At 37.7% G+C, this 26,348-nt stretch overlaps 1 protein-coding gene across 5 annotated transcripts in view, besides 1 other annotated feature; it reads right to left on the bottom strand.

The window, feature by feature from the left end:
• Positions 1 to 26,348, bottom strand: part of TTC27 (tetratricopeptide repeat domain 27) — a 193,002-nt gene that overhangs the window by 36,628 nt on the left and 130,026 nt on the right. For 3 of the 5 annotated variants that reach the window (NM_017735.5, XM_005264416.3, NM_001193509.2), the window contains 3 exons: positions 25,905 to 26,132; positions 6,444 to 6,542; positions 1,746 to 1,798 (listed from right to left, as the gene is read on the bottom strand). In NM_017735.5, coding sequence (NP_060205.3) covers positions 1,746 to 1,798; positions 6,444 to 6,542; positions 25,905 to 26,132 — 380 coding nt within the window. The remainder of the gene's footprint in view (positions 1 to 1,745; positions 1,799 to 6,443; positions 6,543 to 25,904; positions 26,133 to 26,348) is intronic. The other 2 variants (XM_011532958.3, XM_047444937.1) reach the window with 1 other exon arrangement.
• Positions 3,168 to 3,462: a silencer, noted in NCBI's record as "tiled region #12694; HepG2 Repressive non-DNase unmatched - State 15:Elon". NCBI's record gives its function as "represses a minimal TATA promoter and a strong SV40 promoter by Sharpr-MPRA in HepG2 cells {active_cell/tissue: HepG2}" and the evidence as "EXISTENCE:reporter gene assay evidence [ECO:0000049][PMID:27701403]".

The following is a 26,348-nucleotide window of genomic DNA, read 5'->3' as shown; positions in this document are numbered from 1 at the left end:
AGCATTAATAATTGCCTCAGAAGTAACAATCCCATTAGCTTTGTCTAGAACCTTAGCAAAGAAAGAAAAGAGTAAACAGGAAAGAATAAAGAAATGATTTATCTCAGACCTTACAACTCCACCTTTGCATGAAAACCTATTTGTGGAGCTGCAAGAGGTAAGAAAGTCGAGAAACAATATGCAAGAACCCCTAAGAGAGAAAGCAGAATTCCTAACATGATTGGGCTGGAAGACAAGGTATCAAGAGCTTCACTATGTACAAACTTATCCGGGTTGCCAGAAAAACTCACTGAGATCATTCTACAACTATGACAGGGACTTCCGAGCCTGTTGCTTTAAACCAAAAAGGTCTCCAGAGAGTTTTAGCACTATCAGTTGCAATCAAGAACATAATATGATCTTCTAAAGAGAATGGTAGAACAGATAGACTTTATTTATGTCATCCAAGAGCAGAGGCAGCATTTCATGATCTCTACGTAATATGGATTTAATGATGTCTTCAGAAATTATCTTGTGATTCCACCAAGAAAAATTAAATTAAGTTTGAAAGTAAGGCCAAATAAAAATGAAAATATATCCATCCTTTAATTTATTAGAGTTCTGGCAACAGCAGTCCTTGTCTCCTCCCTTTCCTTCGCTTTTCATAGCCAGTCAATAAGCCCGTTTAGTTGGTTTTCTCCTTTATAAAGAGTTTGGCATCTGCCCCTTCTTTTTCCACTCTAGTTATCTCATGCCTGAATTGTTACAACAGCTGTGTCCTAACTGGTTTCCCAGCCTGCAGTTTCCTCTAGTCTGCCTCATATACTGCCACCAGATAAATCTTCCCCAAAAGCTTCTTTCTTCATGAGATTACCACACTGAAATCTCTGGCTTCCTATTCTCAACAGGACAGTCTCAATCATTGGTCAAATAATCAGAAGATGCAGCAATTTTACTTCAACCTACCTTTCTAACCTTATCTCTCACCGTATATTTCACATCATAGCTGGACTATTTTGCTTCTTATCTCCTAAAATACTACATTCATTCCTGTCATTCTGCATTTGGTCACATCATTTCTCTTGCCTAAGAGGCTCCCCTCTGTCCCTTCTATCCATCCTTCAAATTTCTGCTTGAGTCCAACATTCTCTCAGAAGCATTTCTGATCCAGGATGACATGATTTCTCTCTTCTTTGATCCTCACAAGACTAAATGAGTGGCTGGCACATAATAAGTGTGCTACAAGTATCATGTATGATTATTTTAGCCCTCTTTATATTCTCATTTGGTATTTGCCACAGATAGCTTATATACTAATCAATTTTTTAAATAAGATGGCGTAGTATTTTATTTTTTAAACCTACATTCCCTGAAGACATTGGTTCATATTTATTTATATTTCTCAATAATGTCTAGTACAAAGCAAGCAATGAATAAAAATAACTGTCAACTGAGTTGACCAACTAAACATATGTTTGCTTTTATCATGTAATAAAATGTAGAATGTAAAACTTCAGTAATAAATAAAGATTTCAAGTAACATTTCTTATTTTATTACATATGAAATGTTTTTAAGAAATAAACTGTATATTTAGAATTCAAGTTAATTTAGTTTGAATTAAGTTTTTCTACTTAAGTTATTCTATTTCATATACATGGGCGAGAAAGGTAAAACAAGGAGAAACATTGAAACAATGTTCAGTTGTAGAAAATCTCATTCATTTATTTGGGAAGCAAATTTCTTCATATTTGTCTGATGTACTTACTTTTGTTTTAATCGGATATAGGAAGTTGACAAATTGTTCCAAGCTTCAGCATTCTGAAATGATAGAGAACACAGTTAATTAACTCTTCTCATTTAGGTAAAATTATTGCTTAAACCAAAAGTACAACACACTCTCCTAGTCCAATATATGCTCTTTAAAACCACAATTTTCAATAAGAGTGTGTTTAAAGGTATATGGCAAAATTAAATCAAACTGAACTTTTATAATTTAGAAAAAGGTTAAAACAATCAACTATGCAATGTAACTATTATTGTACCAATTAGCAATTCAGTTAAGATTTTATTTTCAAATTTAGACTTACAAAATAACTAATACAACATACTCTATATAGTACATAGATTTATTACAAAAAAGGCAATGCAGTATACTGTTTTTTCCTATCTTAAAAATTTTTGCCATTATACTGTCATCCTTCTTCACCGGATAGGGGGGTTAAGAAAAAATCTGTTCTCCAGTGTTACTACTAAGTATTTCATCCATCAAAGATATTTCTCTACCTATTCCTCTACCCAATGACAAAAATAAAGCAAAAATGAATGTTTTTTTAAATCAGCTTAATCAGGTTAAATTTATACAAATGTTGATTCAAACAAGAATGATATAAATTATCTATTTCTCTTTGTTCCACTTTTCATCTAATATAGTATATATCATTCTCAAGTCCCACACATATGACTCAAAAATTAAGTGGCAGTGGACTTCCACTTCCAGACTTGGCAAAATTAGTAACTTTTTGAAGTCTGGCAAAGAATAACTACCAGAAAGCTGTGAGCTGAATGGAGATTTTGGAGGTCACACTGTGCTAGAAGTTATTCAAATTCTAAACTAGCAAAACTGGAGAGTTCTTATTGATTGCCCATGGCATTAAATTCAATCCCAGAGAGGTTATACCTTAAGAAAAGGTTATTAGAGGGCTGGGTGCAGTGGTTCACATCTGTAATCCCAGCACTTTAGGAGGCCAAGATGGGAGGATCACTTGAGGCCAGGAGTTTGAGACTAGCCTGGTCAAGAGAGCAAGGCTCCATCTCCATTGATTTTTTTTTTTAAAGAGTTATGAGAAAATAAGGACAACTCCAGACCCACTTTAACAAGCTTAAAAACAAGCTGATTTAGGAATAATTTAACTGAATGCCAGAATAAAACTCAATCTTCCTTAAAAGAACAGAATAAAACCAAGAAGCACAACAGCACAGCATCCACGAGGTGTAGAATACAATTTTTTTAAAAAATGGCGGACATGGGAAGAAGCAGGAAAATTTCCTTCATAACCAAAGGGAAAAAATATCAGTTAATAAGAAACAGTACCAGAAATGAAAGAGACGTTGAAATAAGCACAGGATTTCAAAGCAGTTATTATAAACATGTTCAAAGATTTAAAGGAAAACATGAACATAATGAGAGAATGTTTGGGGGAATGTTAGTAGAGACATTAAAGCTGTTAAAATATCCAAATGAAAGCAGCCTGACTGCTGGAACTGCTTGTCGTAACCTGAAACCAGTTTTATCTGCAGCTTCTGAGATAATTTGCTGAAACTCTGGGACTAATTTTGCACTCTGCCATCCCTCATCAATGGAAGCTTGCCAGCTCCCCAAACCCTTACTGTAAGTGCCAATGAATTTCTCAAAGAGCAATATGTAACATTTCTCCTTTTAATAAAACTTCTAACCTTCTCCTTGTTCTTCAGACATTCAAAGACTACCTGGCATGCATATACGCCCCAAATTGCAATTCTTTCTTCTCAAATAAAACATTAAATTTAGATCTTTTATATAGAACATTTTAAGGAGTCCACAAAAAAAAAAAAAACACCTACTAGAAGTAATAAATGAGCTCAGCAAGGTTGCAAGATATAATTAATATATAAAAATCAACTGTGTTTCTATATGCTAACAATAGACAATCCAAAAATAAAATTTAGACCTGGCACAGTGGCTCACATCTGTAATCCCATCACTTTGGGAGGCTGAGGCAGGTAGATCACCTGAGGTCAGGAGTTTGAGACTAGTCTGGCCAACATGGAGAAACCTCATCTCTACTAAAAATACAAAAATTTGTCAGGCGTGGTGCTGCACACCTGTAATCCCAGCTAATCGGGAGGCTGAGGCAGAAGAATTGCTTGAACCTGGGAGGCGGAGGTTGCCGTAGGCCGAGATTGCACCACTGCACCTCAGCCTGAGCAACAGAGCAAGATTCTGTCTCAAAAAAATAAAAAATAAAATTAAGAAAATAATTCCATTTATAATAGTATGAAAAAGGATAAAACACTTTGGAATAACTTAACAAAAGAGGTGTAAAACTTACACTCTGAAAACTATAAGATATTAAAAGAAATGAAAGAAACCTAGAAAAATGTAAAGACATTCCATGTTCATGGATCAAAAGACTTAATATTATTAAGATGGCAGTACTCCCCTTATTCACCTGCAGATTCAATATAAGGTCTTTTGGGGAAATTTACAAAGCTAAAAATCCCATAGGAAAATTCAAGGAATGCTGAATAGCCAAAACTATCTTGTAAAGGAAGAACAAAGTTGGAGTACTCACAGCATTTTCAAAACTTACTACAAAGTTTCTGTAAACAAGACAGTGGAATATGCACAGACCTATAGTCAATGAAATGTGACATACAGTCAATGAAATGTGATTGATGGACCATAAATACATCCTTACATTACAGTCAATTAATTTTTGACCACTTACATTTACAGTAAACTGATTTTTGACCAGAGTGACAAGACTATTAATAGGAAAAGAATAGTCTTTTCAACAAAGTTTTGAGACAACTGGATATCTACATGTAAAAGAATGAAGTTGGACCCCTTCCTTATATCATAAATAAAATTAACTTAAAATGGTCCCTAGACCTTAATGAAAGAGTTAAAACTATAAAACTCCTAGCAGAAAAGATAGGAGTACATCTTTGTGACTTTGGATTTGGCAATGGATTCTTAGATATTGTACCAAAAGTATGAGCAACAAAAGAAAAAACAGGTAAGTTGGACCTCATCAAGATTAGGCTTTTGTGCTTTAAAGTGCACAATCAATAGAGAGAAAAAAAAAAAACTTAACAGAATGGGAGAAAATATTTGCAAATCATTTGTCTGACAAGGGACTTGTAGCTAGAATATAGAAAGAACTCTTACAACTCAATGATAAAAGGATACATGACCCAATTTTAAAAATGGGTAAGGATGTGAATAGACATTTCCAAAGAGGATATACGAATGGCCAAGAAGCATGTGAAAAGATGCTCAACATCATTAGCCATCCAAAACATGCAAATTGAACCACAATGAGATGCCACCCACTAGAACAGATATAATAAAAAAGACAGCTAGTAACAAGTGTTGTCAAGGATGTTGAGAAACTGGAACCCTCATACATTGCTAGTGGGACTAATGGTACTTTGTTTTTTATTTGTTTGTTTTTTTTTTGAGACAGAATCTTGCTCTGTCACCCAGGCTGGAGTAAGGTGGCGCAATCTCTGCTCACTGCGACCTCCGCCTCCCAGGTTCAAGTGATTCTCCCGCCTCAGCCTCCTGAGTAGCTGGGACCACGGCATGCGTCATCACGCCCAGCTAATTTTTATATTTTTAGGAGACATGGGGTTTTACCATGTTGGCCAGGCTGGTCTTGAACTCCTGGCCACAAGTGATCCACCGGCCTTGGCCTCCCAAAGTGTTGGGATTACAGGCGTGAGCCACCACACCCGGCCTAAAATGGTACTTTGGAAAACAGTCTGGCAGATCCTCAAAATTCTGAATATAGAGCTACCATACGATCCAGCAACTCTACTACTGGGTATATAACCAAGAGAAATGGAAACATATGTTGGTCTCAAGCTTATAAACAAATGTTTATAGTAGTGATATTTATAATAGCCAAAAAGTGGAAACAATCCAAATGTCTACCAACTCATGAATGGATAAATAACATGTGATATACCCACACAATGGAATATTATTTGGTCATAAAAAGGAACAAAGTACTGAAGCATGCTATAACCATGCATGAATCTTGAAAACATTAAGAAAGAAGCCAGTCACAAGAGCCCACAAAAAGTATGAATCCATTTATATGAAATGTTCATAATAGGTGAATCTATAGAGACAAAATGCACATTAGTGTTTGCCTAGGGCTGAAGGGGAGGATGTTTGGAGAGAAATAGGGAGTGACAACTAATGGGTACAGGGGTTTCTCTTTAGGGTAATAAAGATGATCTAAAGCTAATTGTAGTGGACGGTTGCACAATTCTAACTATACTAAAAATCATTGAATTGTATATATTAAATAGGTGAATTATATGGTATGTGAATTATTATCTCATAAAACTATCAAATATAAAAAGACTCCACCCTAAAATAACTTTCTAGTAATGCAATTAACATAGGCAGGACATACTAATGAATGACAAAATATATATGATACTTTGCTATACATTCAGTGAAGTATATTTTTAACAAGAAAATTGTTTTATCAAAATTATTTCCTAAATGAAACCATGAAATATTAACTTATTTCCAGATTTATAAATCCTATACCTTGAGGTACGACCTTCCCTCAAATGTACACTTTCCTCCAACACAAAAGGAATTGCTGTTCTGAACCATACAGTACAATTTCAACAACTTAGAGAGTAAAGAGCCACGTAAGGACAGAAGATCAAACAAACTTACATCGGGTTCTAGAGTCACACAGCGCTGAAATGCCTTTGCTGAACCTTGATAGTCTTCCAAGGCCAAATAGGCACAACCGAGAGAAAACCACACCCCGAGCTGCAAAGACCAAAAGTCAAAGTCATTCAAACACACAGAAACATTTACAGAATGTAATCTGAAAATTATTAAGATGCTATCAACAAACACACTCCTAGAAAGAATGCAGAGCTATATAATAAATATTTGCCTTACATTTAGTTTAAATGTAGAATATTTAGCAATGGAGGTAAATTTTTCCATATAATTTTCAATGTAAACACTGAAAAAGTGCAATATTATTGCATATGTTTCACGGAAAAAGTCCATACTTAGTGTAAACCAAACTCCTTACTGGGCATGTTGGCTGTGGGTTCAATCAGCTGCAGAGTGAAAATATTGGAGAAAAAAAAACTGGATGGTTGCATCTCTACTGAACATGTACAAACATTTTTTTCTTGTCATTATTCCCTAAACAATACAAATTATATAGCATTTGCACTGTGTTAGGTACCACAAGTAATCAAGAGATGATTGAAAGTATATAGGAGGATGTACATAAGTCATAAGAAAATACTACAGCATTTTATACAATGGACTTGAGCATCATGGATTTTGGTATTGGGGTTGGGGGCGGTGACGCCTGGAAGCAATCCCCCATGCATTCTGAGGGACCACCATATACAAAGTATCAGCAGATTCACAACTGATGAATGTATTACAAACTCAAAAAAAGAAATTTCTGTTTTCATCTTCAAACTAGACCACAAGAACTTCTGCAGCTTAACCAAGAGCCAAACTGCCCTAGCATATATCTGCTTTAGGCATGCCTGAAATTAATTTAGAAAAAGGAGGTTCAGAATCTGGATTACCAAATAGTTACTCAAAATGTAAAGTATGACCTAAGCCAATTAGATGTGTAAACACTGAGATTTAGAAAACAGATAAAATAGGAAGTAGCTATTCAGATTACAAAAAAAAATCTGTACATCATAATATTTCCTTAAAATTCAATAGCCTCTGTCAAAAGGGAGATAAAACTAACAAAAATTCGGCTGGGTGTGGTGGCTCACACCTGTAATCCCGGCACTTTGGGAGGCCGAGGTGGGCGGATCACTTGAGGTCAGGAGTTCAAAACCAGCCTGACCAACATGGTGAAGCCCCCGTCTCAACTAAAAATACAAAAATTAGCCGGACATGACGGTGTGCACCTGTAATCCCAGCTACTCGGGAAGCTGAGGCAGGAGAATCGCTTGAACCTAGGAGGTGGAGGCTGCAGTGACCTGAGATTGCACCACTGCACTCCAGCCTGGGCAACACAGTGAGACTCCATCTCAAACAAAACAAAACAAAAACAAAAACACAAAAAACTAACAAAAATTCAATGGAATTAGTCAGAAATGCAGCTATTATGAGTTGTTTTCCTTCCAACAGTCAGCAAAGGCAACTTTATAAGCAGATCGAAGTCTCCTTTCTTACTGACTTCCAGAAAGGCACTGAGCCAGCTGTCAGATTTACTTGGACAGTTTAGGTTAGGAAAGAAAATGAGGTACTCTGTTCTCTATCCACAGCCTTCCATAGAGGCAGAGTAGGAGGCTGCCTCTACATCACTCCTCCTTCAGCCATTCCCACAAAACTTGTTCCATGTGGCTAGCAGAGGCCTGAAAGTTCTTTAAGCAGATAAAGATTTTTAGCCAGTAATTAGAGATAAAGCTTAGAAAGCAAGCAGACTTGGGCCATTTAACGCTTTGCCATGAATTCACAGGAGGCTATAAATAACTGTTATCAGGAGCCTTTATGGAGAACAGATTTTGTTAGAGGGACAGGTAATGACTGAAAAGAGGATGGATATATGTCTACTGGGAGGGGGCAGAAGCAGAGGTACTAGGTTGAAACTAAAAGTTAGAAGTTCACTTTTTTGAATCATGGAACTTTCAACAACCTAAAAATGAGCTCACCACTTTGCTTTCATCTGTTTTTTAATAAAATTAAATGAAAAGAGCTTCAATGCACCAAACCACACTTGCTGAACATGATACATTCTGAGAGAACCTAAAGTCTGATGCTAACATGTAAAACAAGCTCTCTAAACTCCAACCAAGTAAAAAGTTTCAAAATCTGTGTATTATATTTCATCAATGTTAAAGTGTACTTTTTTCCCCACCATTTAACATTTCTGAAATAGAGATGCATCTGAAAAACCAATAGCTTATCAGTTTTATTGGCAACATTTTTTTTTCTATACAAAGTGGTACTTAAAGGTACTTCTTACAACCGATGGCATCTTAGATACAAAGAATTATGATACCAAGTTTACTTGGAATAAGGGATTCTTATTTTGAGACTAAATCAAGAACAATGAGAACTGACCTCAAGGTCCTCAAAATGCATGTGCTCTGCTTGTTTTCTGCATCAGCAAAGAACAGATACTATTTCCCATGTGTTGTTATAAGAACCACATGTGTGGCCGGGCAAAGTGGCTCACACCTGTAATCCCAGCACTTTGGGAGGCCGAGGCAGGTGGATCACGAGGTCAGGAGATCGAGACCATCCTGGCTAACACGGTGAAACCCCATCTCTACTAAAAATACAAAAAAATTAGCCGGGCGTGGTGGTGGGCGCCTGTAGTCCCAGGTACTCGGGAGGCTGAGGCAGGAGAATGGCGTGAACCCAGGAGGTGGAGCTTGCAGTGAGCTGAGATGGCGCCACTGCACTCCAGCCCGGGTGACAGAGCGAGACTCCGTCTCAAAAACAAACAAACAAACAAAAACACATGTAAATTCAAAATCTAAATAAAAACTTCATTTTTAAATCCATCTAAGAAGATTTACAAGGGTTGCAAATGTCCAAAATTAGCAATTACCTTCTAGCTCTAAAACAGACTGGTGATGAGGTTATCTTTTATTTTTAATTTTTAAAACTACTGAATGGTTTGTAACCAATGTCTTTAAAACCAAAACAAATTTAATGAAAATCAGACAGATGACTTAATTTAACATTAAGTATTATGGTTCTCTTTTCCTTTTACTCTTGGTTATTTTTGCAGTGTTTTAATACTTTGCATTGGAAGGAAAAATCCTAGGATCGTTAACTGCTAGGTTTTATCTACTGACAACAAGAAGGGAAATGAGCTTTGCACACAGTGGTGTTCTTTGAAATCATCCAATGGCTTTTCTTTTTTGAGGTCTTCAGAATTTGGGGGACTACAGACAATATTTGGTGCCTCTTTTACTTTTTTCTTTTTAAACTATTACTTAAACTGCTATTACCAATAGTGACTGGCATCTCAGTTCAGAATAGTCATACTCTTAAGAACAGAACATCATAAAAGAAAAACAAAATCAAAAGAAGCTTCAAAAAAAACCTCTCTCGATTCCTCAGAACATAGTTGTATATGTTTGGGTACAAAAATCTCTATCTTCTCGTCCAGTGCTATCACATAAAAGTATCATGCTAGTAGCCTCATTATATTTTCTACATTTCAAAAAGTCAAAGGAAGGTGGTCCATGCCTGTAATCCCTGCACTTTGGGAGGCTGAGGTGGGCAGATCACTTGAGGTCAGGAGTTCAAGACCAGCCTGGCCAAAATGGTAAAACCCTGTCTCTACTAAAGATACAAAAGAAATGAGCAGGCATGCGTCTGTAATCCCAGCTACTCGGGAGACTGAGGTGGGAGAATCACTTGAACCGGGAGGTGGAGGTTGCAGTGAGCCACAATCACGCCACTGCACTCTGGCCTGGGCTAAAAAATGAGACTCTGTCTCAAAAAAAAAAAAAAAAGTAAAAGGAAGGGTGAAATTTATTTTAATAACATTTTATTTAACTCTACATATCCAATATGCGATTCCTTCAATATATTATTACTATACAAAGTTATTGAGACATTTTATATCCACTTTTTCACACCAAGTCTTTGATGTGAATTCAAAGATGTGAATTCAACACAAATTTGTGAAATTTGATGTGAATTCAACACAGCATGGATCAATTTCAACTAGTCACATTTCAAGTGTCCATTGTCACACATGGCTAGTGGCTACCATTATTAACACAGTTACACTATTTCTCTAAAACACTGACATAGGCCCTGGAATACCTTGCATCCTTCCCTTCTTTCTCCAATAAAAAACTAGCTCCTTTGGCTGAGATCCTCCCTTGAGCTTCTTTCATATATTATAGTTACTCCTGTTCCTCTCTTTACAATAACAACCAAAATAATTAGCTCTTAATGAGCATCTGCTATGTGTGCCAAGCACTGACACCATGAGCTTTCCACACATTACTCATGCGTTCCTCACACCCACCCTGCAAGGTGGTCAATCTCACTCTCCTAAGAGAGGCGACAAAGAGTCAGAGTCAGTCACAGACAGAGGAGAGGTTCGACACAGTCAGTGTGACTCCAAAGACCACGTCCTCTCTGCCTCCGACAACACCATTCTGCCTATACACAAGCCATGATTTATGGCAATACCATCCTTGTCACCAATAAAGAGAGAGGGGGAAACAGGGCAGTTAACATGTGCTGGGAAAACCCAAAAGATAATTCTTTAAGAACCAGGAGCATATCTCTTCCCCCACAAACGCTCTCTTGATTGGGCTAGTCAGGTGGACAAAAGAAAACATAGAAAAATGGGTGGCCACAGGATGGGGCAAGAATGGAGGGAGATAATCACCTGATAGAGAGGCCCTGGTTGAGATTTCTGCAGAGCTTATTTCCAGGGCAAATCGTGAAGGCAAGCTGGCTGTATGCAGCCAATAACCTTTCAAAGCTGACTGTCTAGCGTTTCTGTCTCAGGGAGCCAATAGAGAAACACAAAAGCAGGCCAACTGTTTATTTTGAATGTGATAATACCTGTACTTAACCAATGGCTTTAAATTATTTTAAAAATAATTCACAAAGAACTCAAAAGGTTGAGAGCATGGTTTCTTTGAATTTCCCTCACAAAGTCCCCTAGAGTGTGATAGAGGAGAAAGACGACTGGGATTCAAGTGGCTCTGAGTAACTGTTACGACCCTGGCTATGTCACTTAACCTATGAGTCTCAGTTCCCCAAGTGTGAAATAAGCAGGGGTGGACTAGGCTAAAATTCCTGAGTTCTCCAGATGCCCCAGATTCTGAAAACCCAGAGGGGACTGGGTTCGAAGGTACACAATTGCCATCTAGTGGCAAAATAAGGACATTGACAATAGAATGGAATATAGAAGCACTTCAACTTATAGGGTTATGTTCTGATAAATCCATCATAAATTGAAAATATTGTTAAGTCAAAAATACATTAAATTCACTTGATCTGCTGAACCTAATAGCTTCACCTAGCATACCTTAAACATGCTCAGAACACTTACATTAGACTACAGATAGAGAAAATCATGTAGCACAAAGCCGATTTTATTTTTTAAAAAGTGTGGAGTGTCTCATGGAATTTATTGACTACTATACTGAAAGTTATCAACAGAATAGATGTATGGTTACTCTAAGCATAGTTTCTACTGAAAATGTATCATTTTTGCACCATCATAAAGTCAAAAAGTTATTAAGTGGAACTATTGTAAGTCAGGGATCGTCCGGTATTTAGAATTAGCAGGTTTGAAGAACTGGAAGGGAATCAATTCAATTAGAGACCTTAGAAATCAGTTCAAAAGAGATCTAGAGGAAAATGATGCTTACAAAGGAAATAACTGGCTTAAAGCCACACAATGGTTCCTCAACCCAAGTGTGAAATATGTGTGCTGAAGACAGTGACTGTAATACTTATTAAACCTTAATAATTAAAATAAAAATTAAAGTTTGCTACCCTGAGGGCTAGCAAAAACTAAGCACCACTAGACAACTGGCATAGATAACTTTTATAATTAAAAAGTTAATTTTTACAAGGGTATTTAAGACACATCTGCAATGGGTACCACTTATGAACCTACTACTCAAACTCCCTTCCTCTTGAAAGTTTCCACATCATTGATAATCAGTATTCAAACTTTTGGCTAATTTCCCTCATATGATCAACTGTTTTGAATTTTTCTGTCACATATAATAAAGGTTAATGTAGAATAATCTAATCCTAAAGCCATACCACACTCTCCACTCTTTCTGTACCCCTGCCTGATTTCTGTGACCCCAAACACAGATGAGTTGTTGAATGTGGTATCATTAAACAGGAAATGACCGAAGTGAAATCCAAGAGTGACATCAATGGTGTCTGATAGTAGCTTTTCCTAAAGTGATGCTTGATGCTCATTTTTTTCCTCATGTGCACTGCCAACTCCTTCATAGCCAAGTTTCTCATTTACTAAATTCTAAGTTCTCCTTCCATGAGGAAATATAAATCTTAACCTACCAGCTTCCTGATCTCTCCAAAGGAATAATTTCTTCTATTTCAGTGTCTTCCCTTAAACTAAAGGATCAACTAAATTTTATACATACTTTTTCTTTTACTAGAGGTTATTAATTACTGAATGCCCTTCTCTTAATTCTTGTGCTAGATTTGGTTACCACTGGTCTTTATATTTGCTGAGTCTTTTCAAATAATTCACAATGCAAAGTAACACAGGTGTTTATATGTCATCTGCATGTGAGATTCTCCTGTTAGATATATCTCCCTAATTTTAGGCTACAGATAATGGGGCAACAATGGTTTTTCTACAGTGCAACAGGCAGAAAAGAAAAGAACGACTACGTAACATCTATTATTGCGAACTTACTATGGGCCAGGAAATATGTTAGACACCTAACATATACTGGCTCTAATTTTCTCAGCAGCAAATCCAGGTAGAGATTATAAACTCCATTATTTAAAAGCTCAGAAAGATGAAGAGATTTGCCTTTGTTATCTTCCTCGGGATTACCAGAATTCAGAATCAGGTCTATGGTAGCAAAGCTTTCGGCCTCCCCACTATGCATCAGTCACACCTACAGCCCAGATGTTATCACAGTACTCACATTTCTTGGCAGTTATGCAAGTTACACCTTAAGACTTTCATTCTGTACTGCTTACCAATATTAGAAGGGAAAAATAAAAAGGAAAGAATGTCTTTTTTCCGTACATATTATTCACATATGTTCATCCTATCCTCCCTATTGGAATGTGAGTTCCAACATCCTCAAGTCTTCCCACCACAAATAACATAAGTTCAAAACAGAAACGATATAAATCCATTTCAAATAAAAATATTTTATCCTTTCAAAAGCTAAAATGAAAGAAAAAGTTAAATCAAGGAAGAGCAGCATGTACAAACCGCTAAGATGATTAAAATGTCAGAGTACTGTATCATAGAAGTCTGGTCTTATGTATAGCAATGGCCTTGGAAAGGTCGGCTCAGTTAAATCCCTGGTCTCAAAGAGAGTCACTCCCTAACATGTGCTGGATGGTTCCCAAACATCAATCTTACATTCTCACTTTGCTTCTGATGAAAGCCCCGATGGCTCTTCATTAAAGGATGAAAAAAGTTCAAACCTGACAGACTGGTATTCAGGGCTTTTTATAACTTGACCTCAACCAAATCTGCCATTACGTCCTAGCATACTATGATATCCTCGAGGGCAAAACTGTGAAGAGGTTAAGAGCAAGAGCTCTGGAATCAGAAAGCTCAGGTTGAAATCCCAGCCCCATCCCTCATAAACTGTAAAATCTAGTACAAATTACTTAACCCTCTATTTCTTCATTTATGAAAGTAGGGTAAAAACAATAAGTAACTCAGTGACTGCAGAGAATTAAAAATATATGGAAAATGCTTCTAGAACAGTACCTGGCACTGAGTAAATACTCAGCATTAGTTGCTATTCTCATTATTATAACTGAATAAAATATAAACCACCAAAACTGATAGTTACCAAGAAACTGCTCTCTGCAGGGTTGGTTTTTACATCCGCTAGTCTCCTTCCTTGAAACATATTTTCCCAATTTTTTCCACCTATCCAAATCCCAACCATTCCTGGTAGTTCACACCAATATTCACTTCCATCAGGCTTTTTCTGACCATTCACATCCTTATTTACAAGGCCACCCAAAAGCATTGCCAGGCACCCAAAGCATGTTGCCTATTCACTCAATTCCTTGGCTACACACAATGCTATTCATGCCTCCTCTCTCCATTTAACCTATATAAACCCCTGGAGGGCAGGAGTCTGTGTCTTAACACAATTCTCCTGTATCCCCCTCAATACCTCAATGGTTTACAAAGAGTTCATACTTACATAAGAGCTTAGAATATAGATGCTTAATGAATAGAAATAGCTATTATAATGTTAATGTTCTCATTTTCCAGTCTCATTTTTAATACTATTCCTTATTTCCAAAGCTAATATCTTCATCTCTTCTCCTCATTCCACTCTCCCCTAGAATGATATTCCCTATTTATCTCCCCTCTCTCCTTACAATATTCAATCTCTCCTTTATCCACAGGAGTCTTTCATTTCTGCCTTCCTCCATGTAAAGGTCTCCAGTATCTTGAAATGTTTTACCTGACTTTTCTGCCCCTCTGAGTACAACACTCTACATTTGTCTCTCATCTCTCTGACGTGCTCCTAAAAGGAACAGTCTATAGATTCTATCTCCATTTCTTCATCTATCACTCACCCTTTACTCTCCTGAATCTGTTTTTGAATGTCATCAGTGAGCTCCAAATCCAATGACCTCTTCATAGCCCTCTGCACTTTATCACTACATGTGACATAACTCGCTGACATTTGCTCTTGTTTTAGGTGCCATGAACCCCTTGCTGGGGTTTCCTTCTATCCCTCTGACCAAGACTCTGATGTACTTTGAGTCCTGTTTCACTGGTGCCATTTATCCTATCTTCTTCCAACTTCAGGAGATGCCCAAAGCTCAGGACATTGCCTGTTATTCTCTTCCAACACAGTTTTCTGTGAAGAACTCACTTTCATGGTTTCAAGTAACTTCCACAGAAAAGCCCCATCTGCATGCTCAGGCCTCACTGTTGGGCTTCACTAGGGCTTTTATCTCCAATGGACTAGCAACAATCTCTGCTACAATACAGCACCATCTCCTCATATTCAACATCCAAAACCACATCACCTTGCTGGCAAAAGATATTTTCCCTTCCTCCTAAATCCCTATGGCTATCAATAGAGACATTTTCCTTTTTAATCAGAAAATTGAGAAAACTGGCCTCCTCTCTGATTCCAACGTCTCCCTCAATACTGCCAGCCCAATGTGTAAGTCCCAGAAAATTTCCTCTGTAATGAGGCTTCAGTCATTCTATGTTTTCCATGCTTACCACTCAAGCCACTGATAACTCACCCATGATATTCATTCCTTATTTAAACTTCCCATAATACCACTTTTGTCATATCACTTTTTAATTCAAAACCACAATAGGCTCCCACATCTACAGGGTTAGGTAATCTTGATACAGGGCATTTAAGGCCCTTTGGAAACTAGTTCTGTCCATTATCATTTCCTGGCAGAAACTCTCTGTTCTCTGTTGATAGGTTGACATAGCACAATTCATAACCACATCCATATCTGATATACAAGTACTTGATAATGCTTAGTTAGGCAACCACATAATGTAATGTACAAACTGCAACACTTTTGAAAGTGAACCAGAGCACTAAAGAAAATAATTTAAATTACACGGTTTAAATAAACATATTTATCAACCAACAAACTGTTGATCAATAAATTGGTTTTACTCCATCTGGGGACTTATAAGATGATTCTATTCAAAAATTATTTTCAAAAACAAAATTATTGAAAAATAAAACTACATTAAAGTAAAAAAATTTTAATGCTGATTATGTGAACATTAAAAAATAATAAAGGAGAATTAATCAAGCTGTACAATTATAATTTTGTACATTTCCATAATCTATTACAGAATTAAAATTAATTATTCTGAGTAGACATTCATATGCTTTAATCAGTGTTTTAGTCATATTTTATGCTAATACCATGTCATTGATATTTTACTAATGAATATATTCTTTCAATATGATCTTAGTATTTTTTATTTTTTCCTAAGATTACCTGCTACTTCAAAGTTGTTCTTTATTGTTAATTGTCAGATTCATTGTTTACACATTTAAAATTGTTGACTCTTTTATTGACTCTTTTCTAGGGGACACAATAATTTTAATTGAAAATATTATTTTGAAGTATACTGATGTACCTGGTAAGCTCAGAGCAACTTCTGCTAAATAGAACATATTTTTAATTCTAGCTTTGTTAATATTAAAACTTATAATGGCCGGGCGCGGTGGCTCACGCCTGTAATCCCAGCACTTTGGGAGGCCGAGGCGGGTGGATCATGAGGTCAGGAGATCGAGACCATCCTGGCTAACAAGGTGAAACCCCGTCTCTACTAAAAATACAAAAAATTAGCCGGGCGCGGTGGCGGGCGCCTGTAGTCCCAGCTACTCGGGAGGCTGAGGCAGGAGAATGGCGTGAACCTGGGAAGCGGAGCTTGCAGTGAGCCGAGATTGCGCCACTGCAGTCCGCAGTCCTTGGCCTGGGAGACAGAGCGAGACTCTGTCTCAAAAAAAAAAAAAAAAACAAAAAAAAACTTATAAATATTCACTTAGTATCTTTTGGCTTCCATTTAGGGTACTTTTCTTCAACAAATATTTTTAACAAGACAAAATATATCAAATATGCTGTCTCTATTTATGATTTTTGTAATGTTTCACCAGATTTAGATGCTGCTAAATTACAGGCCTCTATTACAGTCTGCTCTAGTAAAGGATATAAATTTATTCAATTAAAATCAGAAACTCAATCAAAAGTTTCTTACAAATTATTACTGATGTTTTAAGTGCAATGGTATTACGGTTTTAAAAAATTCCCTATTTCTTAGACAAATATACTCAAAATGTTTTTAAGGAAATGATTTGATGTATGGGATTTGCTTTAAAATAGTATGAAGCCAGGCATGGTGGCTGACGCCTATAATCCCAACACTTTGGAAGGTCAAGCGGGGCAGATCGCTTGAGGCCAGGAGTTCAAAACAAGCCTGAGTAACATAATGAAACTTTGTCTCTACAAAAAATACAAAAATTAGCCGGTCGTGGTGGTGCATGCCTATAGTCCCAGCTTCTCAGGTGGCTGACGCAGCAGGATTGCTTGAACCCGGGAGATGAAGGTTCCAGTGAGCAGAGATCGCACCACTGCACTCCAGCCTGAGTGACAGAGTGAGACCCTGTTGCAAAAATAAATAAATAAATAATAAAGCAATATGAGGTGAAGTAGGGAAATACAAATAACACAAGATCAGCCATTTTTCCAACACTGTGTGCTTACTTCGTGTCTCTGTCACATTTTGGTAACTCTCACAATATTTCAAATCTTTTCATTATTATTACATTTGTTATGGTGATCTGCAAACAGTAATCTTTGATGCTACTATTGCAATTGTTTGGGGGCACCACAAACTGCACACATATAGGACAGTGAACTTAACTGATAAATGCTGTGTATGTTCTGACTGCTCCACTGACCAGCTACTCTCCTATCTTCTCCCTCTCCTCAGGCCTCCCGCTTCCCTAAGACACAACAATATTGAAATTAGACAATTAATAACCCTACAGTGCCTCTCAGCGTTCAAGTAAAAGGAAGAGTCACACATACCCTACTTTAAATCAAAAGCTAGAAATGATGAGGGACTGTGGATCACAGAAGAACTAGAAGCGAGGCCTCTGAATGTCCTTACCAAAAAGAAATGATAAATGTATCAGGTGATCATCATGCTAAATACCCTGATTTGATCATAATACAACATATACCTGTATTGAAACAGAAAATTGTACTCCATAAATATGTATAATTACAATGTATCAAATGAAAAGAAAGCTAGAAATGATTAAGTTTAGTGAGAAAGGCATGTCGAAAACTGAGACAGGCCGAAAGCTGGGCCTCCTGTACCAAACTGTTAACCAAGTTATGAATGCAAAGGAAAAGCTCTTGAAGGAAATTAAAAGTGCTCCTCCAGGGAATACACAAGTGATAAGAAAGCGAAATGGCCTTATTGCTGATACGGGGAAAGTCTGAGTGGTCTAGATAGATCAAACCAGCCATAACATTCTCTTCAGTCAAAGCCTAATTCAGAGCTAGGCCCTAACTCTCTTCAATTCTGTGAAGGCTGAGAAAGGTGGAGAAGCTGCAGAAGAAAGTTTGAATCTAGTAGAGATGGTTCATGAGGTTTAAGGAAAGAAGCCATCCCCATAACATAAAAGTGCACAATGAAACAGCAAGTAGTGATGGAGAAACTGCAGCAAGTTATCCAGAAGATCTGACTAAGACCATTGATGAAGGTGGCTGCACTAAACAGATTTTCTAGGAAGACAAAACAACCTTCTTTTAGAAGAAGATGTCATCTAGGACTTTCATAGCTAGAGAGAAGTCAATGCCTGACTTCAAAGGACAGGCTGACTCTCCTATTAGGGGCTAATACACCTGGTGACTTTAGGCTGAAGCCAATGCTCATTCACCACCCGAAAATCCCACAGCCCTAAAGAATTAGGCTAAACCTACTCTGCCTGAGGACTGTAAGTGGAACAATGAAGCCCAGAAGACAATACTTCTGTTTACAGCACGGTTTACTGAATATTTCAAGGCCATTGTGGAGACTTACTCCTTAAAAAAAAAAAAAAAAAGATTCCTTTCAAAATATTACTGATCATTGACATAGCACCTCGTCACACAAGAGCTCTGATGAAGATGTACAAGGAGATTAATGTTTTCATGCTTGCTAACACAACAACCACTCCGCAGCCATGGAACAAGGAGTAATCTAGACTTTCAAGTTTTATTATTTGAGAAATACATTTCACAAGGGTATATAGCCACCATACATAGTGATTCCTCTGATGGATCTGGGCAAAGCAAATTGAAAATCTTCTGGAAAGGATTCACCATTCTAATGTTCACCAATAAGAACATTCCTGATTCATGGGAGGAAGTCAAAACATCAACATTAATAGGAGTTTGGAAGAAGCTGATTCCAACTTTCATGGATGACTTTTAAGCGTTCGAGATTTCAGTGGAGGCAGTCACTACACGTGTGGCAGAAATACAGAACTATAATTAGAAGGGAGCCTGAAGATGTGGTTGAATTGCCATAATCTCATGATAAAACTTGAAGAAATGAGAAGTTGCCTCTTATGCATGAATAAAGAAAGTGGTTTCTTGAGATGGAATTTGTTCCTCGTGAAGATGTTGTAAACATTGTTGAAATGACAAGGATTTAGAATATTACATAAACTTGATTGATAAAGTAGCAGCAGGGTTAGAGAAGACTGACTCCAATTTTGAAAGAAGTTCTGCTGTGGCTAAAGAGCTATCAAACACCATTGTATGCTACAGAGAAATCTGGCATGAAAGGAAGAGTCCATCTATGCAGCAAACTTCACTGTTGCCTTATTTTAAGGAATTGCCACAGCTACTCCAGCCTTTAGTAACCATCACACTGATCAGTCAGCAACCATTAACACTGAGACAAGACCTTCCACCAGCAAAAAGATGATAACTCACTGAAGGCTCAGATAATCATTAGCATTTTTTTTTGGTAATAAAGTAGGTTTAAATTAAGGTATTTATGATTTTTGTTTGTTTTTTTTTAGACATAATAGTATTGCACACTTGATAGACTACAGCATAAACTCAACCTTTATGTGCCTGGGAAACCAAAAAATTCGCATGACTTGCTTTATTACAATATTTGCTTTACTGCGGTGGCCTGGAACTGAATCTACAGTATCTCTGTGGTATGCTTGTACATATACTGTTCACAGTATCATATAATCTCACAAAGGTGAGTGACTGGTTGACTGAGGAGGAGGTTAAGGAAAATAAATTTTTAAAAAGGTAGAAGAGACTGACAAAAGTAAAGGAAAACTGTATGTGTGTTAAGTGGGAGATGGAAAAACTGACAGGACATAATATTTCTCTTTTTCAGTGCTAAACGTACTGGCTTGATAGCTGAGTAATTTCTTTGGTTTTTACATTTTTGCATAAAAGTAGAGTGTTAACAGGAATAATAACTACCTAAGAATAGGAATAAGAATGTATATTTTAATTCTAGCCTCTGCCTGGGAAATTGTGCCTGGGAGATTTGGTCAGATTTCCCTCCCATTTTCTTCAGCTTTCACTATCCCGCAAACCTCAGAAATCTAAGGTTGAATTTAAGTAGTTTCAGAAGTCACTTGCAAAAATGAAACAAGTGGGTATAAGTGAACAATAGCTAGCAATCTCCAAAGCGTAAATATAAGTGGTACGTCTTTTGGTTCTCTAATGAATGCACCATAGACAATGTATTTAGTTTTGCATCTCATCCCTGTTATTAGACCAAACCCCTCTATTTCGTATAGGAGCTCTCATTTTTTAAACTTGAGCTCTCACTCAATTTATAGAAGTTCTTTGTTTTTATTTAAGCTCTCACTTTAAAATGCGCTTAAATCTAAAAGATGGACAATAGCCTTTTTCCCCCTAACCCTTTCCAGATACAACTGCTCTTATACCAATTTGACTTTAGAAAGTTATTAAGAGGTGCAGAAGCCATTCAAATACCACTTTGGTTTGCCTAAATTTTGTTATTTAACCTAATTCTTTGGATATGTCTAAAAAAGAGGATAGAATTTTTTTAAATTCCATGTTTCTATTTTCCCTTTATTGCAGGTCTTAAAGGAGACAACATAGCATATAGGCGTTCTCCCTCCAGACAGTTCAAACTTGGTTCACAGTTAAAATGAGTCTACAGTGTTCAAGTTTGCATCTTGTAGTAGTTCTGTACAATTACAGCATTCAATACCTGCATATTTTGGCATGGTTTACCGCCCGCCTGAATTGGATCCATATGAGAAGCTCCAAAATATTTTCACATAACATCTGTTTATACTGTGACTCTGCTTTGAGCAATTGTCATTTCTTTGTCTACGTAAATAATTAATTCTAAATTATATAATGAGACCAGCAAGCCCTGTCAAGTTCTCCCCTGTGACTTCCCTCACTTCATCCCTTCCTTCCTATTGCCCCTCCCACACTGAGAATTGCCATGGCTAAAAACTAGGCTATTGGGCTGAGCGCGGTGGCTCACGCCTGTAATCCCAGCACTTTGGGAGACCGAGGCGGGCGGATCACAAGGTCAGGAGTTCAAGACCAGCCTGACCAACATGGCGAAACCCCGTTTCTACTAAAAATACAAAAATTAGCTGGGCATGGTGGCATGTGCCTGTAATCCCAGCTACTTGGAAGGCTGAGGCAGGAGAATCGCCTGAACCTGGGAAGCAGAGATTGCAGTGAGCTGAGAAGCTGAGATCGCGCCACTGCACTCCAGCCTGGGTGACAGAGCGAGACTCCATCTCAAAAAACAAAACAAAAAAAAAAACCCAAAAAACTAAACTATTGCTACAGTCTCTTAACTCAGCCTCCATCTAGAATCTCCTACAGCCAGTGTTACCAAAACAATATTCCTGAATTACCTCTTTACACACCACATTCCTTCATTTAAAACAAAGCTCCAAAGAAATCAACCCTTTAATGGCTATCTGTCAAATAAAAACCCAACGGTTTAGCCTCACATTGAAGACGTTTCACAGCCTGGCTCCAGTCTAGGTTTCGCACTATAACTGCCCTACTTCCTTCTACCCTAAAAAACTAACCTCTTCACCAAACCTCTGTTCCCCCAACACACACACACACACACACACACACACACACACACACACACACACACACACTTCTCTCTGTGTTTCTAGAGCTTTGCTCATACTCTTCACCTGCCTAGAATGCCCCCACCACTGCACTTCCTTTGCCTATTCTAGTCCTACCTGTCTTTCAAAGCCGACTCCAACATCCTCTCTTCATTGTCTACCAAAAGTAGAAATGTTCTCTTTGGCCTCTATATAACTGGTGCTTTACATATAAATTGCTAGGTTTTTCTTTGTTGCATCATATTGTTAGCTAGTTCTGTCTGTGTTTGCTTCACTAGATTGCCATGGTGCAAATGGGACTATCTGCTGACCTGCTGCTATGTCTTCATTCTTTGGCTCAGTGCTACGTGCAGGGCAGACAATTAGTATATATTTGACTGAAAAAAAGTAGTTGAAGATACTATTTATTCACCCATTTGACAAATATTTATTGAATATCTGATAAGTACAAGGCACTTTAATAGGCCTTACATTCTAGTGAAGACAAAACAGAACTTTTTTAAAAAAGTAAGCTATACATAAGTGCTACGGAAAAAAATAAAGCAGGGAAGGAAAATTAGGAGTATAAGGTAGGGGTATGATTTTAAATAGAATGATCATGGAAGGCCCCTCTGAGAAAGTGACCTTCGAGCAGACTTGAATGAAATATCTGGAAGAAGGACATTCCAGGCAGAGAAAGAGCAAGAGGAAGACCCTGAGGCAGGAATGTGCCTGGCATATTCAGAGAACAAGGAGGGCAATGTGGGGTGAGAAAAGGGGAGAATTGGAGGAAGGAGGAAGAAGTGCCGGGAGCTAGATACTGGGGAAAGTCTTGAGAGCCATTAAGAGACTGGGTATTACCATAACTGACCTGAGTTTGAAAGATAAATGTGGATGTCCTTTGAGAATAGGCAGAGGGGCAAGGAGAAAGGCAGGAAGACCAATAAGGAGGTAACATAATTAATCAGGTGCAAGACAATGGGGATTTGGACCAGGATGACAGGAGGTGGTAAGAAGCAGTCTGATTCTGGACATATTTTGAAGGCAGATCTGCTAGGACTTGCTGATCGATTAGATGTGGGGTATACGGGTAAGAGGAATTAAGCATGACTCCAAGGTTGGATGGGGTTGCTATTTATAGGGATGAGGATAAGGATAAGCTTGGGAGGAAGAGGGATTAGGGATGGGGAGAACACTTCAGATACTGTAAATGTTAGGTTGGAGTGAGGAATGGGGAGATCGCGTAAGCAGTTAAGTACTGGCGTCGAGTTCAGGGGAGAAAACAGGAGTGAAAATAAAATCTGGGAAGTTGTCAGTGTATAGTTGGAACTTAAAGCTCCAGCACTAGATGAAATCAAGGAAGTAAGTGCAGACAAAGACAAGGTCCAAGGACTAAGCCTTTAAGGCACCCCTAGGAACCAGCAAGGGAGCCTGAGAAGGAGCTGCCAGCGAGGCAGAAGGAAAAGGATAATGCTGATGTGTTGAGAACAGACTGTGCGCTGCAGAGAACAATTCATGTCTGTGAGGCACCTGGCACTGATTTAACTGCGATTGTGGCAGGCTAAGCGAGGGAACTCACTTCCCCCACTCATAAGGCAACTGCAGCTAGGGTAAACTTTAGGCAGAAGCTTCCAAGATATGCAAGGATATGATACAGTTTTTCAGAAAAGTAAAATTTTAAAAACAATATTGAGTGAGTTCTCCCTTCTATCAAAAACCAAAAACCAACCCCTCCCCGCCGCCAAAAAAAATAGAGTGATAATCAAGTTAGAGGAGGGTTTCTCAACCATGGCACTAGTGGCATGACAGGCCAGATAATCTTTATTGTGGGGGCTGTGCTGTGTATTACGGGATGTTTAGCAGCATCCCTGGCCTCCACCCACTCGATGTCAGTAGCACATCCCCACACGTCCCCACTGTCAAAACCAAAAATGACTACGTGAGTTGCCAAACGTCCTCTGGGGGACAAAATCATCCCCAGTGACTTAGAGCAAACTGTCAACAAAAACCAATTCCTTAGTATACTCTAAGCATCCTTGCTGTCAAATACACCCATTAGTTTCTGCTGATATTCTGTACTTACACCTGTCCTACTCTCTTCTCCAGGCTTTTTACCTGATTTGGAAAGTTCTAATTATATTCACCATTCAGAGTTCGGAAAGTAAGCAATTAGCTCAATCCAGCATAAGAAAATGCACTTCTGATTTTTTTTCAATGTAAAACGCATTCCCTCAGTTATCCAGTTCAAAAATGACAATTTCTGCACACCCATGTTCACAGCAGCACTACTCACAATAGTCAAGAGGTGGAAGTAAGCCAAGTATCCATCAACAGATGAATGGGTAAACAAAAGGAAGTATGTACATAAAATGGAATATTATTCAGCCTTAAAAAGGCAGGAGGTTCTGACACATGCTACAACATGAAGGAACCTTCAGGACATTATGCTAAGTGAAATAAGTCAGTCACAAAAGGACAAATATTGTATGATTCCACTTTTACAAGTTACCTAGTAAAAATCATAAGACAGTTACCCAGTTAAAATCATAAGACAGAAAGTAAATGGTGGTTGCAGGTGCCAGGATGGGGAACGAAGGGGAAACAGGGAGTTGTTTAATGAGTATAGAGTTTTGGTTTTACAGGATGAAAAAGTTCTGGAGATTGGTTGCCCAACAATGGGAATGTACCTAACACTATTGAACTGTACTTTCATTTAATTTTATTTATTTATTTTTTTCAGAGATGAGGTCTCACTATGTTGCCCAGGCTGGTTTCAAACTCCTGAGCTCAATTAATCCCTTGGCCTCCCAAAGTGCTGGGATTATAGATGTAAGCCACCATGCCTGGCACTGAACTGTACTTTTAAAAATGGTTAAGATGGTAATTTTTCTATGTTTTTTACCACAATTAAAGAAAAAAAGACAGTGTAGGCTCTGGAATCAGACCATCTGGATTCGAATACTAGCAAAATGCTTAATGAATTACCTGGCTCATAGTAAGTGCTTGGTGAACATTAGTCACTAATTATAAGTTAGTATTTTAACTGGTGATTACAGCAAATCAGTGTGCATGTTTTTCAACAGCAATGATTGACAGTTATATGTGCCTTTGATTGGTGAAATGGGAAGGCAGTTATAAATAAAGTTTGGTAGAAAAAATGACCATTTCTAATAATAAAACATTCTGATAACTGAATATCATTAAGTACAAAATAAGGTTAATCTCTTTTCCCTCAAAATTAGGTCCACTCCTATGGATTTATCATGTCACTTAGTTTAAAGATCCAGACCCTTTCGCATTATTTTTTTCAAACCTTTAAAAACTTTTAAACATTTAAATGTATTTGTGTGTATATAAATACACGTTTTTCTTAAAATGATCAAGAATCCATTCTATATGCTATCCTATTTATATAAAGGTTTTTCTTTCATTACTGATTTCAGCAAATACTTGCAAAGTCCTATGCTGTCTGCAATTTTGGCTCTTGTTCATTTTCTTCCTAACATATCCGCTCAAAATTGGACCTAATTTTAATAGTTGTATGTCAGTTAAGGACAGATAAGGGAAAAAAATAACAAAATGAAACAGAAAGTTAAAGTAATAGAAAGTGAATTAAAAAAAACCTATCCACTTTTTGCAACAAGCAAGTTTGCAACAAGCAAAAAGTCTATTAGAGACTAAGTTCTTAGCTGTCAAAAACAAACTCACCAGTTATCAGGTTAGAAAATGGGTACTCATTCTGTAAGATCAAATCCAAAGAACAGCACAAGCGCTGAGAGCAGCAGGGGGTTATGAGTTGTCTAACCTGCATGGGATTAATCTTAACCGAGCGTTCGAAGCACTCTACACACTCTTGAAACTCCTTGTTCCGAAGATGAAGGAGGGCTTTGGAGCGCTGAGCACGAGCACTGCGGTACCGGGACAACTCCCAGGCCTTGTCATAGCAAGAATGGTCTCCGAGGACATCTCCAAGCAAGCAGTATAAACTAGGCGTTTCTTTTTTCTCCAGCTCTTGTCTAAGGATTTCTTCTGCCTAGAAACAACAGAAATAATGAAATTGCTTAAGAGTGATTAACTGCTATTTTTTTTTTTAGCACATATACATCTTTAATCTCACACAATCCAAATTTTTATTTTCAACGTTTGAGATTTCTTATTTGACCTATCAAGGACACAGGTTGAGTAAGAGGACCGATACAAAATAAATACAGGCATACCTCAGAGATATTGCGGGTTTGGTCCCAGACCA

The sequence above is a fragment of the Homo sapiens genome, chromosome 2, assembly GCF_000001405.40.
Source record: "Homo sapiens chromosome 2, GRCh38.p14 Primary Assembly".
Classification (NCBI taxonomy): Eukaryota; Metazoa; Chordata; class Mammalia; order Primates; family Hominidae; genus Homo; species Homo sapiens.
Note: the sequence above shows the minus strand (reverse complement) of the source record. Positions and strands in the feature narration are given on the sequence as shown.